The sequence below is a fragment of the Homo sapiens genome, chromosome 4 (assembly GCF_000001405.40).
Source record: "Homo sapiens chromosome 4, GRCh38.p14 Primary Assembly".
NCBI lineage: Eukaryota > Metazoa > Chordata > Mammalia > Primates > Hominidae > Homo > Homo sapiens.
In genome coordinates this window covers 48,960,376-48,979,121 of record NC_000004.12, presented here as the reverse complement: position 1 = coordinate 48,979,121, position 18,746 = coordinate 48,960,376, and the positions used below count along the sequence as shown (strand labels likewise).

At 41.5% G+C, this 18,746-nt stretch overlaps 1 annotated feature.

The window, feature by feature from the left end:
• Window positions 15,774-15,913: an enhancer, noted in NCBI's record as "active region_21551". NCBI's record gives its function as "activates an Ori minimal core promoter by ATAC-STARR-seq in GM12878 lymphoblastoid cells {active_cell/tissue: GM12878}" and the evidence as "EXISTENCE:reporter gene assay evidence [ECO:0000049][PMID:35858748]".

Here is an 18,746-nt window from a genome sequence, read left to right as displayed (position 1 = left end):
CCATAGCTGGCTTCCTTTTCTTTAAAGAGGTAAGATAAGGAGAACCCCCTTAATACCAGTTCAGGCCCTCAATTATGCTCATTAATTTTAAAAACACCTCTGCCACTTTAGGAAAAGCTAAGTTCATATTAATTTAATTTTGAAGGCCACTGTCTTTTCATTGCTGTTGGAATCTCTTTTTGGACCTCAAGTTACCATTTGCATACTTATTTTTTTTTCTTTTTTTTAAGACGGAGTCTCGCTCTGTCGCCAGGCTGGAGTACAGTGGCACTTCATCTCCGCTGAAGCTAAGTTCAGTGACAAAGGTCTATTTCTCCCTTGTATCATGTCTATCGTGGGATGGCTGCAACTGCACTCCATCATGATCCAGGACTCTGGCTGAAGGGGCAGTCTCCACTTGCAGGTCTCATAGAAGACCACATCTCTTCCTCTCACACTCAGCAAACACAGTGGCCAAGACAACCTCAATGGGGCAGCATCTACGCAAAAGAGGCAGGAAGTGTTTTGAACAATAATGCAATCTATTGCAGCCCTCTTTTTTAATAAGAATGTATAGCTCTGTTCTTTTCATGTTAATTTGTAATTGATTAGTAGTTATTTAATGATCATCTTTGTTTTGGAGGTTTTTTTGAGTTAAAAACTATGTTCTACTAAATAAAAACCTCATGTTCGACTGAAGATTGTATTACAAAGCACACAGATTTCCATTTATAAATATCTGATCAGATACATATGAGGCTATAACAGAAATTATTTATTGTGACTATATCTAGTTCATTGCTTTTGCTAGTTTCTTTTCTTTTTCTTTTTCTTTTCTTTTTCTTTTTTTGAGACAGTCTCCCTCTGTCTCCCAGGCTGGAGTACAATGGTGTGATCTCAGCTCAATACAGCCTCGACCTCCAGGGCTCAAGCAATAATGATCATCTTTTCTAACCTGCTTTTTTTTTTTTGTCTAATACATTAAGAATATTTTTTCATGTCAATAAATATTCTTCTGCAATGTGACTTTAAAAACAATTTGTTTTTAGAGACAGGGTCTCACTCTGGGGCCTTGGCTGGAGTGCAGTGGCATGATCATAGCTCACTGCAGCCTCAAACTCCTGGACTCAAGCAATCCAAGTAGGCATGCACATCCATGCCTGGCTAACTTTTTAAATTTCTGTAGAGACAAGGTCTCACTATGTTGCCCGGGCTGATCTCAATTCCTAGGTTCAAGCAATCCTCCTACCTTGGCTTCCCAAAGTGTTGGGATTACAGGCATGAGACACTGTACCCAGCTGCAACGTGACTTATAAATATTAATAGTAATATTATTTCATAACATGATTACATAATTTACTTAACCATTCCCATTTTGAAGGCTATTTAGGTTGTTTTGTTTATGGGAATAGTCAAACAGACTCCCCACCTAGAAAACATGAACACTTTTTTTTTTTGCCACGTAGTTTATTTTAAATAGAGAGTTTACATTGTCTCCAACAAAAAGTAATGATATTCTCTACGGAGCTGATGGTCCTTGGTTCTATTTTAGCTAGAATCTCCAGGGCACTGGGTTTTGCTTAAGATCAGCAGACTCAGACCCCAGGTGTTTTCCGAGTTTACTCACCCAGTGCTGTCTGAGTTTACATTACTTATGCCTGTAATCTCAGCACTTTGGGAGGCTGAGGTGAGTGGGTCACTTGAAGCCAAGAGTTTAAAGACAAGCCTGGCCAACATGGTGAAACCCCCATCTCTACTAAACATACAAAAATTAGTCAGGTGACTCATGCCTATAATCCCAGCTACTCGGGAGGCTGAGGCAGGAGAATCGCTTGAACCCAGGAGGCAGAGGTTGCTGTGAGCCAAGAACATGCTACTGCACTCCAGCCTGGGTGATAAAATGAGACTCTGTCTCAAAAAAAAAAAAAAAAAAGCCGAGCGTGATGGCTCATGCCTGTAATCCCAGCACTTTGGGAGGCCAAGGTGGGCAGATCACAAAGTCAGGAGCTCAAGATAAGCCTGGCCAACATGGTGAAACCCCGTCTCTACTAAAAATACAAAAATTAGCCAGGTGCGGTGGCGGGTGCCTGTCATCCCAGCTACTCAGGGGGCTGAGGCAGGAGAATCGCTTGAACTCAGGAGGTGAAGGTTGCAGTGAGCCAAGATTGCGCCATTGCACACCAGCCTGGCAACAGAGCAAGACTCCGTTTAAAAATAAAAAATAAAAAAAAATCAGCAGACTTCCACTCTGACTCTAAAGAAACGACGGCGTGCACTTTGTCCGCCTCTCTCCACTGAGACAGGTGGGTTTCTTTCCTTGAATGGAAAGAAAGTGGAAGCCCCCTATGGCAGAGGAGGTTAACTATCAACCAAACATCGTGCTTATCCTCCATCATCTATAGAGTAGTTCCTGGAGAGGAACTGCCAGCCAGGGGCTGCATTTCTCAGCTCCCCTGGCATCTCCAGGGTTTTGTGTGATTAGTTCTCACCAACTGAATGTGGCCAGAGTCACTGAGTTGTGTCACTTCCAGAGAAGAAGATTTAAAAGTGGTTTTTTTCACCCCTCTTTCCTCTTCTGCTTGTGATAATAAGGCCCTGGGGAAAGGCTGAGCCACAAGAGGAAGGGAGCCCTTGCTAGGAACACTGACTTTGAGCTGTTATGTGTGATTGTCTTAGACCACCGAAAAGACGGGGTTTACTTATTACAGAACTAGCATTGCCCAAACTGTGACACTCCCAGCCTCCTTTTTCCTCTGAGAGAGTTAAGAGGGTATAAAAATTAAAGGGAATCCCATTGAGCATTCATCCTATGCCCCTCTAGGCACCGGAAAAAGAGAAAGAGAATCAAGTTACAAAATGGGAGTTTAATGTTTCAACTAATTTCTCCTCTAGGAATTGTTATACTGCCTGAGATGATAATTTGTTCAGTAAACACCATCCAGGGCAATCAGTACAGGCAGGGATCCAGTCTTCCCCACCCCCAGAATGCTCTGTCGGATTTTTAAACAGAGATCGCATGTGAAATCACTACATTCTTTGAACTAGAAAAATGGGGAGGATTGACACAACTATGAAGAGTGGGACCTCGGAGATAAACCAACCTGTGTTTGAATCCCAGCTTTACCACTGACTAGCTTGCTCAAGGCTAAACTTCCAGGAACAATGGCCAAAAACCATGCTGCATAACTGATCTGAAAAGATCTCCACTGGCTGCACTGAACACCAGATTCCACAGTTGCCCCACTGCCATGTTGGTGCTAAGAATTCAACTACCCCGAAACTGTTCCAGCCACCAGCACCAAAGCCACCACTGACCCCCGACCTTGCCTTTTCAGCTACTGTTTCTGCCATCACTTCCAAAGAGGGTGGGTCAATATTGGTCTTTTAGGAAGCAGACTCCAAGGCTGGAATTAGAAGTGGAAGAGATTAAGAGGGAAATGCCCATGAAAGACAAAGAGGGAGGGAGCAAGAGTCGGAAGGGAGAACCTTCAGCTGTGATATGGATCTGGCACCTTAGAAAGGAGTAGGGGAAGGGGAGGACTGGGTAAGAAGAGACTCAGACGGTAGTGACCTCTGCAAACATCTCTGCCAGGCAGCAAGGGAGCCTATTAGAGTATCTGGCACTGGGGAGGAATGGCCCAGCTCCAGTATCCTCTCTGTGCCCTTTCATTGACTGGAGCTGCCTAGACAGAACAGAGACTCATAGAATGAATGCTGCAGCAGATGCCAAAGGCTGTCAGTTAATTACACTCTTCACAGCAGGTTATCTTGAAGGCATAGCTGAGTGGCACAGCAGCTCCATGCTGCCAAAGGAATGCTTGGCATCAATAGATCCTGAGTTGAAGTCTAACTGATAGAGATTAGACCATGTGTCCTTGCTGCAAGAAAGCCTGGAGAAACAAGTGACTGGCATTTTCAGCACCAAAGGAGAAAAGGTCAAAACAAATGAGTGTCCACTATAGCATGTAAATCACTGAGCCCCATACCTGGCATACAACAGACAACTGGATGAATGGAAGCTGCCATCCTCACTAACCACACTGAGAAAGTGATGGAAGGAGAATAGGTTGTTGCATCAGTCTCTCCTGGGTTCACATCTGGACTCCAGCCTTCCAAGTAAAATCAGAGAAGCTACTTAACCTTTCCGAGCCTCAGTTTCCTCATCTGTAAAGTCTCCTTTGCAGAATTGTGAGGATTTGAGCCATGCATCAAATGATTGACCCAGAGTATGCTCTGAGAAGATAACAGTACTAAAGTTACTTGGTGGTGAGCAGAGTATGGAGCACCAAGATTAGAATGAAAACTCTGTGGGGGTGAGTACTGCGCTGCACCACACTCATCTTTGATGGTTTGTTTTTTGGGGTTTTTTTTTTTTTGGTTTTTCTTTTTTTTTGGAGACCAAGTCCCATTCTGTCATCCAGGCTGCTGGAGTGCACTGGCACAATCTCGGCTCACTGCAATATCCACCTCCCGAGTTCAAGTGATTCTCCTGCCTCAGCCTCCTGAGTAGCTGGGACTACCGGTGCCCACCACCATGCCTGGCTAATCTTTTTGTATTTTTTTTAGTAGACATGGGGTTTCACCATGTTGGTCAGGTGGTTCTCAAACTCCTGACCTCAGATGATCCATCTGCCTCACCCTCCCAGAGTGCTGGGTATACAGGTGTGAGCCACTGTGCCTGGCTTCATCTTTGATGTTCGGATAATCAGTAGCAGAGCATGGCATATACCAGGTGCTCAGCAGATATTTGGTGGGTGCAAATGAATGAATGAGTGAACAAATGAACATTGTTTCTTATTGATAGATAACAAAGACAAAGCTGCATAAATCATTTTAGGCTGGGATTTTTGTTCTACAGACTGGTTCTTCCCAATAATACTCTCCCTTCCCCTTTATTTCTTTTTCTTGCATTCCATCCAATCACTTCAAGGAGCTTAAAGATTATATAGTCAAAAAGTTTATTTTATTTTGTTAAGTTATTATTTTTATCACAGTGAAATTTTTAATTTTATCAAAACAGTTCTAAGATTCACACAGTAAGGACAAAACTTCTTTCTCCTGGCCCTACCCATCCCATCCCTAATTCCTATTCGTCAGGGGCAAACATCTTCATAGCTATTTTTTCAGCGTTCACTTCCATATTGCTTTTTCTTGATTTTTAAATATTTTGACATCATTGTTTTTATTGTAGAAGATGAAGGGTTAAATCTCTTACAGTGCTTCTCCCCTAGAAACACATGCACACAGATACATAACATGCACGCATACCCCCCACATACACACACCTTCTCCCACTCAATATAGTTGTTTCAACTATTTCTCAAATTTTGATTAAATCAATAATGTGTTTATCATATTAAGATTGCATCACTGCTAATCATGCAGAACGCTTAATTATATTTTATTTCTCATCTAATTATTGTGTTCTCTTTCGTTTATAATTGATTTTTTGTTAATTTGTTTGTTTGTTTGTTTACTTAACTGTGACAATCACAAACTCATTCCCAAACTATCCTCCAGTCCTGTAAAACCTCAGGACCATCAAGACCATGAGGTATTCTATCAGCTCCCTTTTTCTCTGAAGTCATCCCTCCTGGTGTTCTCTGCTCTTCTGCTCCAATCTGGGCAATCTGCTTTCCAAGCTTGCTGCAGGGCTGTTGTCCTGAACTTCCCTTCAGCCTCATTGGAGACATTGCTTCATCTCTCTCCCATACTCGACTCCCTCTTTATAGGATCCTATGTCTTCCTCTTGACTGGTTTACTCCAGCAGCTTCCTGAGAAAGAGTGCATGGGAAGTAAGTTTTTTTTGAGGCCTTTCATGGCTGCAAATGTCATAATTCTACCCCATGCATGTTAGTACAATCCATTGAGATTGAAAAATTATTAGAATAGGAAACACCATATTGCAATTATTCATCCCCAGGTTTAGCCAAGTGTGAGAGGAATTCCAAAATAATAGTGACTTGAACGAAATTGAGATTTTATCTCTGTCACATAAAGGTTGCCATAAGTAATCCAGGGCTGGTGTGCTTGCTCCACAGGTGTCAAGAGCCTGGGCTCTTTCTATCCGGGTACTCACCATCCTCAACAGGCATCCTTCGTTTCATGGTTCAGGACAGCTGCTTCAGCTTCAAGCTTCACATTCTCAGTCTAACTTACAAGAATAAGAAAAAGGAAGGAGAAGGACAGGGGACCACCCTTTCAGGACATTCCCTAAAAGTTGCATACCTGACTTCTACTTCCAACCCATTGACCAGAATGCACTCATCTGACTGCATGAACAGTCCATCCTTATTTTACCCTTGTGTTTAACCTTAATTTCATGACACCTCCCACAGATTTTATTGTACCTATATGTCTGCATCATTACTATTATTAGATTTTAAGCATATGGTGTGACATAAACATGCCTCTTAATTTTTATTATATCTTCACTTAGTAACCCAGATGTTGGGTGCCACTAACCATTACTTCTGTTTTGTAGGCTATATGAAGTTTGAAGCACAATATTACCATACTTCCCCAGAAGAAACTTCACTCCACAAATCATTAATGATTTTTGAAGGTTGGCCTGATTGTCTTCCTGGGGAACTTTGTCCATATTGGTAATTTATTTATTTATTTATTTAGAGACAGGATTTCCCTTTGTCACTGAGGCTGGAGTACAGTGGCAAAATCTATAGCCCGCTGCAGCCTTGAACTCCTGGGCTCAGGCTCAAGTGATGCTCCCACCTCAGCCTCCCAAGTAGCTAGAACTACAGGTATGCACCACCACATCCAATTAATTTTTTAAAATTTTGTGTAGAGATGGGGTTTGTATTAGCCTGTTTTCACACTGCTATAAAGATGCTACCTGAGACTGGGTAATTTCTAAAGAAAGGAGGTTTAATTGACTCTCAGTTCCATTCTGCATGGCTGGGAGTCTTCAGGAAACTTACAATCATGATGGAAGGTGAAGGAGAAGCAAGGCACCTCTTACATGGCGGCAGGAGGAGCAGGGGGAAGCGCCACACTTTTAAACCATCAGATCTCATGAGAACCCACTCACTATCATGAAAACAACATGGGGGAACCACCCACATGATCCAATCACCTCCCACCAGGTTCCTCCCTTGACACATGGGGATTACCATTCAAGATGAGATTTGAGTGGGGCCACAGAGCCAAACCATATCAGGGCCTTGCTATGTTGCCCAAGCGGTGGTGTAATCATACCTCACTGTAACCTTGAATTCCTGGGGTCAAGTGACCCTCCCACCTCAGCCTCCCAAAGTGTGGGGATTACAGCCATAAGTCACCACACCTGGCCAATATTGGCAGCTTTAGGCTTCAGAACTGTTTTTATCTTTTTTGGTGAGGAGGTCATGTAATGTAAAGCAGGGGAGGTGTTTTGTGTTTCCCACCTTGCAGAGTAAGGTGGCTTGTATCAGAAGAAAATGAATTCTACATTAATAAAAGGGCAGAGAAGAAAGAAGTTCCTTGGATTAGATTGATTTAGTTATTCCAAAATGTATACATATATCAAAATATCGGCCTGGCATGGTGGCTCACACCTGTCATCCCAACACTTTGGGAGGCCATGGCGGGCAGATCACTTGAGGTCAGCAGTTCAAGACCAGCCTGGCCAACATGCTGAAATCTCATCTCTACTAAAAATACAAAAATTATCTGGGCATGGTGGCTTGCACCTGTAATCCCAGCTATTCAGAAAGCTGAGGCAGGAGAATTGCTTCAACCCAGGAGGTGGATGTTGCAGTGAGCGAGATCATACTGCTGCACTTCAGCCTGGACAACACAGCGAGACTCTGTCTCAAAAAAAAAAAAAAAGAAGAAGAAGAGAAAAAACTATCACGTGTGCACCACCAAAACTATACACAATTTTTACTTGTCAATTAAAAATAAAGGACCAGGCATGGTGGCTTATTCCTGTAATCTCAGTACTTTGAAGACCAAGGCAGGTGGATCACCTGATCCCAGGAATTCAAGACCAGCCGTCTCTACCAAAAATACAACAAATTAGCCAGGAGTAATGGTATGCACCTGTGGTCCCAGCCACTCAGGAGGCTGAGGTGGGAGGATTGCTTGAGCCTGGGAGGCTGAGGTTACAGTGAGTTGAGACTGCACCACTGCACTCCAACCTGAGTGAGAGAGTGATACCCCATCTCAGAAAAACAAAAATAAAAAATAAAGGAAAAGCAGGGAGGAAGAAGACTCTCGGCAGCATTTGAGCCCCTCATTCTGTTTTACGATCCAGCTGCATCTGTGCTCTTTCAATGGTTTGGTTGTTCAATAGTTCCATGGATCCTATTAGTCAATGTATGAGTCAGCGTTCTCCAGACCAGTAGAACCAATAGAATGTGTCTGTGAGTATGTGAGTGTCTGTGTGGTGGGAGAGGGGGGTGGAGAGAGAGATTTATTATGTGAAATTGGCTCATATGATTATGGAAGCTGAGAAGCCCCAAGATCTGCAGTTGCTAAGCTGGAGATCCAGAAGAGCCAATGGTGTAAGTCCAGTCCAAGAGCCAGGAGGCTCAAGACCCAAGACGACCAGATGTTTTGGTTTGAGTCAGAAGACAGAAAAAGACTGACTGCCAGCTCAAAGTGGTCAGGCAGGAAGAGTTCCTTTTTTTATCTGGGGGAGGGCCAGCCTTTTTGTTCTATTCAGGCCTTCAACTGGTTGGAAGAGGATAACTCACATTTGGGAGGGCAATCTGCTTTACTCAGTCTACTGATTCAGATGTTAGTCTCACCCAAAATCACTCTCACACACAAACCCAGAAATAATATGTAACCAAATATCTGGGCACCCCAAGGCCCAGTTGACATATAAAATTACCATTACAGTCAGAAAATTCTCCCTTTTGTCCAAGACTGTTTAGTCTGGGTTTTAGTCACTTGAAAACAAAGTAATCCTTGCAGCCAGGTGTGGTAGCTCAAACCTGTAATCCCAGCACTTTGGGAGGCCTAGGTTGGAGTACTGCCTGAGCCCAGGAGTTCAGGACCAGCCTGGATAACATAGTGAGACCTTATCTCTAAAAAAAATAAATAAATTAAATAAATTAAAATAATAATAATAATCCTGACATTCATATTCAAAGTCACTTATTGTATTTGCAACAGAGCTTTCTCATTGTGCACATGGCTAGTTTCCCATGCATGTATGTGTTGCAGGGGGTGATGAGGGCAGAGGATGGGAGGGTAGGGGAGGTTAGAGAGTGATGACAAAAGGGTATGGAGTTTCTTTGGAGGATGATGAAAATGTTCCAAAAGTGATGATGAATATACAACTCTGTGGATATATGAAAAGCCATTTGTCCTGCAGCAGATATAACACAGGCTCCTAAAAAAGGAGCAGTGATGGCAATTAATATCCCCACAGAGGACCAGACAAGCCATGTGCCTGTAGCAGCAGAGCCAGAAGTGCCAACCAAATTTATCCCTGTGGCCAGGGCCAAGAGGGTTTCTCAATGAGATTAAAGGGCATCAATCACTTTGGTGCCCCCAAAGTAAAAAGGTCTGCCTGAACAAACATTTTCAATGTAGTAAAAATAAAATAAAAAAGTTTTAAGAAACATTGAGTTCATATCCTAACATGAACATTAGGTTTTCTTTCACTTAGACTTATCATCAAGAGCACCATCCTAGCAGATTCTTTTTAAGGTTTACTTAGAAGGCATGTCTAGGAAATCAAAAATCTATATTTAAAAAAAAATGTATGGATCATTCAGCAGTTTCTTGGATATATACATTTTTACGTAGTCATCCTCTGAACATTAACTGTGAGCCCTCTGTGGGTGAGGGGCCATCATCATCCCTGAGTGCATAGAGATGAGCAAGACATAGTCCCAGCCAGGAGGAGCTCATGGCCCAGAAGTGGAGTCAGCTCAGGTGATCACAGTCCAGCAGGATAAGAGCTGCCTTTGGAAGGGGTTGGGGGCATGATCTGAGGATCTGAGGGCATGAAGGAGAGAGTCACCTGGGGGCCCCAGAAGCAGAGCTGCGATGGTCTAGTTATGAATGGCATATTGTGATGCTCATTTACCTTCCTGAGCCTCCATTTTCCCACCAGCAAAGTGAAGCCAATTAAAGAATGATTGCGTCAGTGCACTAACTGGTCTGACTTGAAAGAAACCACAGATCAAATGCAACTTACATCATGCTGTGAGTTAGCTCCCTTGGAAAACTGTGACTCAATGTATAAATTTCTAGAAGGAGTTACCTAAATACAAGAATTCCATTAGTATTATCAAATTTCTCATTCGTTTCTTCATTCAATAAACATTTCTTGAGCATCTACTACCCATGCTTCTGAAACTGAAATACACGACAGGGGTAGGTGGCAGTGTATCAAATGGTATAGACTCAGCAATTCAACATTGCAGATCTGCTTGGAGCATTAGGTTTATTCAGGGTAAGCAATTCATAACATTTTTATATTAAAACAAGCATGGATATACTACAGAGAAGAATGCAAAATGCATATGAAGTTTTAGGATAAAGCATTTTGAGTTCATAGTAGACTTCTCTGATATGTGTCTTACAGAATTTGGGGTGAAACTTGTGCATTCTCTGTTGCTATTAATTAAATATCAGTTGTTAAGTATCTTAAAAGATGCAAAACATACATCCCTCCAAAAGTGTATAATCTGAGCTGAAACAGGATATCTAAAACTATAAATCAAATAGATACCCATATGTGTCTTTTGAGAAGTATGAGATTGCTTCTGTGTCTGTGAGGTCATTTTATATCAGACGCCTGATGGGACAGAACTATGAAAAACCAATTCAGGGGCCCCACCAGAGAGAATCTGGAGAAGAAAATGAAATTCATCTGGTTACTCATTAAAGAAACAGATTCAAGAATAGCAGAAGAAGGGTCCCTGTAAAGTAAAAGCTCACATCCACTCAGGCAGTCAAGGCAGATGGCTTGGACGGATGGAGAGGATCACAAACGGCAGGGATTGGGAGAAGCCCATTCCAGCTGAACAGAGTGACACCGAGAAAAGGAACAAAGTAAAGCAAAGAAAAGTTGTATTTGGGGTTCAAGGATTAATCAGTTGGTCTAAATCAGAAGTTTGACCAAGCATGCCAGCACAGCCTAATGAAGGGACCTTGAAACCAAGGGCAAAGAATGTGAAATGCACCTGCCATTTAGCACATGCTCAAATGGAGTTTGCTGAATTAAATGAGCAGGACCAGGCTGATGAGATAATGCACCCCACTGAGCCCTGGCAGGTTACAACCAGTTAGCACCAGAGTCTGCCTTGAAGAGTTTCCAGCCTGCTTGCTCCTCCCTTTCCCTCACCTCCCTGTCTAGTCTCTCCCATTCCAACACACATACAGAAAAAAAAAAATGTTGCAATACCACTCTCAACATTAGCTTCAATATACATAGTTAAGTCCACAAGTAGTCCTGTGTGATGGCTCATCCAGAGGGTGGAGTAACTTGTGCTGGGTGAATAAAGGGGTAGAGAATTGTGACTGCCCAATTTTGGGTGTGCGCTATCCTTGCAAGTTTGTCATTTTGGGGTCTTCATAGTTGCCAGATTGTCCATTCACCTTGCAAAGGAACTATGTCTTGACTAATTTAGTTTCCTGTGGCTAGCACATAGTGTGGAGGTTTGAGAGAGTCAATATACATAACAGCCTTCTTCCCCACTCAATCTCTGAACCAACTGAAAGGTATAAAGGAATCAAGCAGATAAAGATGTAAAAATCAGCAGCTTGACTGCTCATAAAAGCTGAAAGGGAGCATGTGGCTTAGGTATGCAACAACAATGGGTGTCCTGATAACTGAACCCAAGAATTAGGCAGACTCACCCACACAGCCACAGGCAGCCCTAGAAAAAGCACAGGTCTCACCCACAGATGCAGAGCCTGTATTTCATAACCAACTGCAGAACAGAGTGTGTGCTCTGGGGCAGGCCAATCCCAAAAACAGAAAGGGAGGGGAAAAGCCTGAATGAAGCAGGCCAGCAACTTATTCCCAAACCACCAGTACCTCCTGAGGGAGACTTAAGCCAGTTGGTAAGGATAGGCCATAAGTGTTACCCTAGTAAGTGTCCTTAGGGTCTAAGAGTTTCCCCCAATATGTGGCATCACTAGCCATGCATCTGCTTGGTTGTCTATGTAATGGGGAACTTACTAAGGCCAACTTCAAACAAGGGACCTATTCAGAGAAGGTGTTCAGTTATTCCAGCTGGTCTCCTCTCTGCAGATGGAAGCTGCAGCACATCTTCTTGTCCCAGGAAGAATCATTTGATCAGCCCCTCTTGGTTTTGAAGTGTATTGTCCAGGAGGCATTGGAGGATGATAAAGGGTGTACAAAAGAATCCCTGTTCATCTTGGAGATCTCTGGAATGCAAAGCAGGTCACTGGGGAGGGATGGTGTCAATTTGTATAAGGGCCTTTGGGGAAAGAAAGAATGGGGCCCAACACCTGCTTTCACAGATCTGAAAACTTAGAAACTGGCTGGTTGCAATACTATGGTGACAATAGCGTCAATCTTCCCCAAGAAACAATAAAACTTTGAAATACAAAGTAGATTATAGCAAAAGACTTTTATCTTTTATTTATTTTTAAAAACACACATTTCCTAGAAGGTGCCAAATTTTCAACAACAGAAAAGAAAGTCTACTGATTCAAAGGATGCTTTTGCCAAGTACTGTATATGTATACCTATACATATATTAATTTGACAATACTGAATCTGTGGTAATCACCACAAATAGGACTATATGAAAATTGCATAGTATAATAGACGTATGTGAGGTTTTAGGCCAATTAATAATATGCATGACATAGTGACTAGTTCAAACATTTAGTCTATTTACTAAAACCAAAATATTCCAACCTAGTAGCACACTTATAAAAGATAATTACACTAATTACAAGTAATTACTGCAAGTTCATTTTTAAATTTTAAAGAGGCTTGATGTGCTGTCTTCTTGGAAACAGCCTAGTGTGTATTCTACATGCATATTAAGTTCATAGAGTTTGTTGATGAAAAATGTCAAACTCTGTAAAATATTTGAAGAGATTTATACTGAGCCAAATGTGAGTGACCTGTGACACACCCCTCAGCAGCTCCTGAGAACATGTGCTCAAGGTGATCAGGCTACAATTTGGCTTGATACATTTTAGGGAGGCAAATGACATCAATCAATACAAGTAAGATATACGTTGGTTTGTTCAGGAAAGGCAGGGCAACTAGAAGCAGAGGGGCTTCCACATCACAGGTAGGTTCAAACATTTTCTCATTAGCAATTTGCCGAAAGATTTGTTAAGTTACTGTCTAAAGACTTGGAATCGATAGAAAGGAATGTCTGGGTTAAGATAAGGGGTTGTGGAGACCACGGTTTTATCATGTAGGGGAAGCCTCCAGGTAGCAAGCTTCAGAGAATAGATTGTAAATGTTTCTTACCAGACTTAAAGAGTCTGTTCTATCAGTACTTCTAAAAACTGAGGCAGGTATAATGAGGCATGTCTGGCTTCCCCTTCCCATCATGGCCTGAACTAGTTTTTCAGGTTAACTTTGGAATGCTCTTGGCCCAGAGGATGGGTGAATTAAAATGGTTGGGGAGACTTAGAATTTTATTTTTGGTTTACAAGATTTAGAGTTAGAAGGGATCTTAGAAATTAACTACTTATTTCCTTGGGTAGATACACCAGTCCTCTGATTTTATAAATTAGTATGTGATTTACCCAAGGTCAAGTTATTCCAGGAACAAAACCAGACCAGTCTTTTGTTTTCTAGTTTGTACCTTAAAAAGTATATTTTTAAAAAATCTAGTTCTGAATTTTTCTATTTTAGACTGACTTTCCATCCACCTGATCTAAATGAATTTTTTTGTGCAGACAAGAACAACAGAATGGAACCAGTAAGTCATACAAAATTGTCCTCAAACTCTGGCACTTCCTGGGGAACAGAAGAATTACAGGGAGATGTGGCAGGTTTCCTATGGAGCTAATGACCCTTTCAAGGGGTCCCAGCAATGTGCTCACCTGGTCATATGTTTACATAAAATTTTCAAAAGTAAGATATTTTAACCACAACTGGTTCAGACAACTGTCTCCTTTCACTAGAACTTCCTGTCTGTCACATTTGCCTGATGTCTCTGGCATTAGAATGGCTGCAAGCAGTTTTGGGATCCTGCTAAGGAGAAACTGACCGGGGAATGTGCCATTTTAGCAGAAATTTGGAAAGTTGCTTTGGAAAGTTCCAGTAAACCAAGTGAAAAGTGACAGACATCATTTGACTTATTATTTATTTATTTATTTATTTATTGGTTTTGGGGTTTTTTAATTGTGTTTTGTTTTGTTTTAGAGACAGGGTCTTGCTGTCACCCAGGCTGGAGTGCCCTAGAGCAATCACAGCTCATTGCAGTCTCAAACTCCTGGGCTCAAGCAACCTGCCCACTGCAGCTTCCCAAGCTAGTACTACAGGCACGTGCCACCATGCCTGGCTTTTTATTTTTTGTAGAGGTGTGGCCTCACTGTGTTACCCAGGTTGGTCTCAAACTCCTTGCCTAAAGCAATCCTCCTGCCTCAACCTCCCAAAGTGCTAGGATTATAGGCATGAGCCACCATGCCCAACTTTGTCATATACTTATTAAAGAACTGGAAGAAAATTCAGGGGAAAAAATGGAATGTGAAGCAAAAGTGGCTACAATAAAGAATGGAATCAAGAGAAAGTCTAACATTGAGAAGGAAATTATGACCAAAAATTTCAGATCATAGCACAGAGGAGGAGATACATTTCAAATAGAAGTAATAAATAGGTTTTTGGGTTGTTTGATAATCCCGTTAATGAAAAAGAGCAAACAATGTGAACACACAGGGAAAATATTTAAATTTCTTGCTAATTTGACATGACACTGCCATCTTAAAAGATAGAAATCACAGTATTCCGCTACAAGGAGGATGGAAAAACAAACTGGGAAATGAATGCTGTCAATGCAAACAGTATTCAATATTAGACACTGCACAAGAAAACTGGAAAATGTCCTCAGATCTTACGGCCCATAAGTGAATTACAGAGAGTTCCCCAAATTTGACCACAAGCCTCAGAATGTACATGACATTACCTGTGAATTGTGAAGCTCAAGGAAACTCTTCTCAACTGTCAACAGTAAACAAATTTTGATGAACCATGATAGAGGAAAAGCCAAATGATCTTTCTATTCTCACTGTAAAAAATATTGCCTGGCTGGATGTGGTGGCTCACATCTGTAATCCCAGCACTTTGGGAGGCTGAGGTGGGCAGATCACTTGAGGTCTGGAGTTTGAGACCAGCCTGGCCTCAAACTCATGGTGAAACCCCTTCTCTACTAAAAATACAAAAAATTAGCCAGGCGTGATGGCGTGTGCCTGGAGTCCCAGCTACTCAAAAGGCTGAGGAGGAATCACTTGAACCCAGGAGGCAGAGGTTGCAGTGAGCCAAGATCACGCCATTGCACTCCAGCCTGGGCTACAGAGTGAGACTCCAGTCTCAAAATAAATTGCAAAATCATTTTTATGAAGAGACAAAGAATTTTTTTAACTTTAGAGGAAAGATGTATGTGAGACAGTTAATCTACAAAACATTTATTTTTCTGTCTTGTGTGGTGTGCATAGTAATTGTCACCTTTTTGAAATTTGCAACTTGTTGCAATTTTGTTTCTCATTCTAAAATACGTATTCTCTTCCATACTTGATATTATATTTGTAATTTTATGTTTTTTCATTTTAAAGAGGAGTCCTAAAATGGAATATGCTACAGTTCCCACAAAAACTTGGACCTGCCTCTGGATGTAAGTTAAAAGGCAATGTATTTACTTAATAGGAAGAAATTGGGGCCTCTTTCTGCAACCTCGAGGAGGCGCTCATTCAGATGCTGACCAGTATGGCCACCAGAACGTTAGTTATACTGCACCATGACCAGCAGGTGGCAGTGAGGTAGAGCAATTCAAAATAATGCCTACGTTTGCCATTAAAAATACCAGCAAGATAAAATATTATTTTTGTATACTGCCTGGTACCAGATGTTTCACTTTGGTGCTTTGGATTATTTTAGAAGAATGTTATAAGAAAGATATGAACCATAAATATAGCTTCCCTATAGAGCTGAAATGTACCAAAGGAGTTTTACATTTAATAGTACATCAATCTTTACCCATATTTTAATTACTTGGTTTTACTACTGTAAACTAAAAATAAAATTCTAAGCCCCCCCCCCCAACCCCCATTCATCTGAAGGGACCTCTCCTCTCAGCCAACGGCATTCCAAAGTTAACCTGAAAAACTAGTTCAGGGCCAGGTGCGCTCATGCCTGTAATCCTGGCACTTTGGGAGGCCAAGATGGGTTCTTGGTTAGGAGTCTGATACCAGCCTAGCCAACAAAGTAAAACTCCATCTTTACCAAAAATACAAAAACTAGCGAGGCCTGGTGGTGCACACCTGTAGTCCCAGCGACTGGAAAGGCTGAGGCAGGAGAATAACCAGGGAGGTCGAGGCTGCAGTGAGCTGAGCTCGTACCACTGCACTCCAGCCTGGGCAACAGAGTTAGACTCCATCTCGAAAAAAAAAAAAAAATACCCTAGTTCAGGTCATGATGGAAGGGGGAGTCAGACATTCCTCATTATACCCCTTCCCTTCAGAATTCAGGCACTACTGACCAGCATGAACATTAAAACAGAAATCTTAAGACTTTTTGTAGCAATAAGACACCAAATTCCAGCCTGACTCAAGTATAGATACATGACAGATAGCAGGCCCTGAAAGAAATCAAAGTATTTTACCCTAATATATATTTCTTTGACATAGTTTGAAATGGTCCTGCAAAGCTGTATCTTATGGGGAAAATCTACATTCTGTAGAGAATCCCTTTCCCTTTCCAGGTACTTTCCCTGATCCAAGAGAGAATTAATTAAGACTCTGTTATCTTTTTAAGTCTGATAAGAAACATTTACAATCTATTCTCTCTGAAGCCTGCTACCTAGAAGATTCATCTGCATAATAAGAACCTTGGTCTTCACAACCCCTTGTCTTAACCCAGACACTCTTTTCTATGGATTCTAGGTCTTTAGATAAACTCTTTAAAGCAATTACCAATCAGAAAGTCTTTGAATCAATCTATGACCTAAAAGCACCCCCACCCCCCAACTTCCAGTTGTGACCAAGCCAATGTACATCTGACATGTATTGATTGATATCTTATATCCCCCTAAAATGTATAAAATGAAGCTGTAACCTGACCACCTTAGGCACATGTCATCAGGGCTCCTGAGGCTGGGTCATGGGCACATCCTTAACCTTGGCAAAATAAACTTCTGATACAGGAGATAGAAAGAAATTATTTAGGCGATAGTGAGGGTAAAAGAGTCCTTGATGGAATTTCCCTTTTAACAAAAAGCAGCCCCAAAATTATTCTTTTCTAACAAAGAGCAGCCTGAAAAATCAAGCTGCAGACATAGATAAGCAAGCTGGAAGTTTGCACAGGTGAATGCCAGCAGCTGTTCCAATAGAAAAGGGCTACCCAAGGGCCAGGTATATTCAACACAGAGGCTCCATCTCCCCTTTTTTATTTCACCATGTGTACAGTAAAGAAACAGGCAACATGGCCAGGCAGAGAACCCATCTGCAAAATACAAGATTAGGGTAGGGGCAGCCAGATTTTCGTGTGCTATGCAAATGGCACACAGGCCTAACCAGTTTTTTGTGCCTTATGCAAATGGCACACCTGGTCCAACCAATATTTCGTGCCCTATGTAAATCAGACATCGCCTCCTCAAGCTCATCTATAAAACCCCTCAAATTTCACTGCAGACCAGAAAACCCACTTGGGACCTCTCTCTCTGCAGGACAGAGCTCCTCTCTTTCTTTCACCTATTAAACCTCCACTCTTAACCTCACTCCTTGTGTGTCTGCATCCTTGATTTCCTTGGCATGAGACAACAAACCTCAGGTATTACCCCAGATGAATGATGTCACTTCACTTTTAAATTGGTTGAGACTTGTCTAATGCTTTCTGGTTTACACCATCATGAAACCATGCTTCAGAGTTTACTCCAAAAAGGTGTCTTCTACCTCATTTTTCTGTGGGATAAGCCATTATTTCTCCACCTAAGAAGAATCTCTTCTTTTTTTTTTTTTAGCACAATACAGCAATTTATTTACATGCTTAAAGTGAATACAGAGGGAAATAAAGATCACAAAATTATACATACTACAACAGTGTGTCATATATTAGATGGTATAAATGAATACACCAGGATGGTGTTTAACTAAAGATAAAACTAAATATCCAAAATGCAACACTCACTGATTTGCTGCTTCAACACAACACGCTTTTATACAGATTTAAAAGGTGTCAACATTAGTAGCTGCAAAGTCAATTCTCGCATGTGATTTCAGCTTAAGAGATGTCAGAAAACAAATCTAAAATACCAGTTTTTGGTATTCTCAAGATATTCAGAACAAGAAAAATCCTATAATACAAGAGAGTCCAGATGTGTGAAGAGCCTCTTTTAATCTTGGAAAGCAAATATTAGTTTGCAGGGTCTGTTACATGCAAAACTAAAAGAATTTCATGCTTATAAGGAAAAACCAACATAATCATAACAACAACTAGGGCCAGTGGATAGCAGAAAGATTATGATCAATTAAACCCAGGGTCCATTCCAATGCTGATACTCAAGATCCTTGGAAAAACTATTAGTAATAAGAGTGAATACAGCAATAGGGCCATGTAGAGCTATGTAGAATTGGGCATAGTTCCAAGTTCTGTA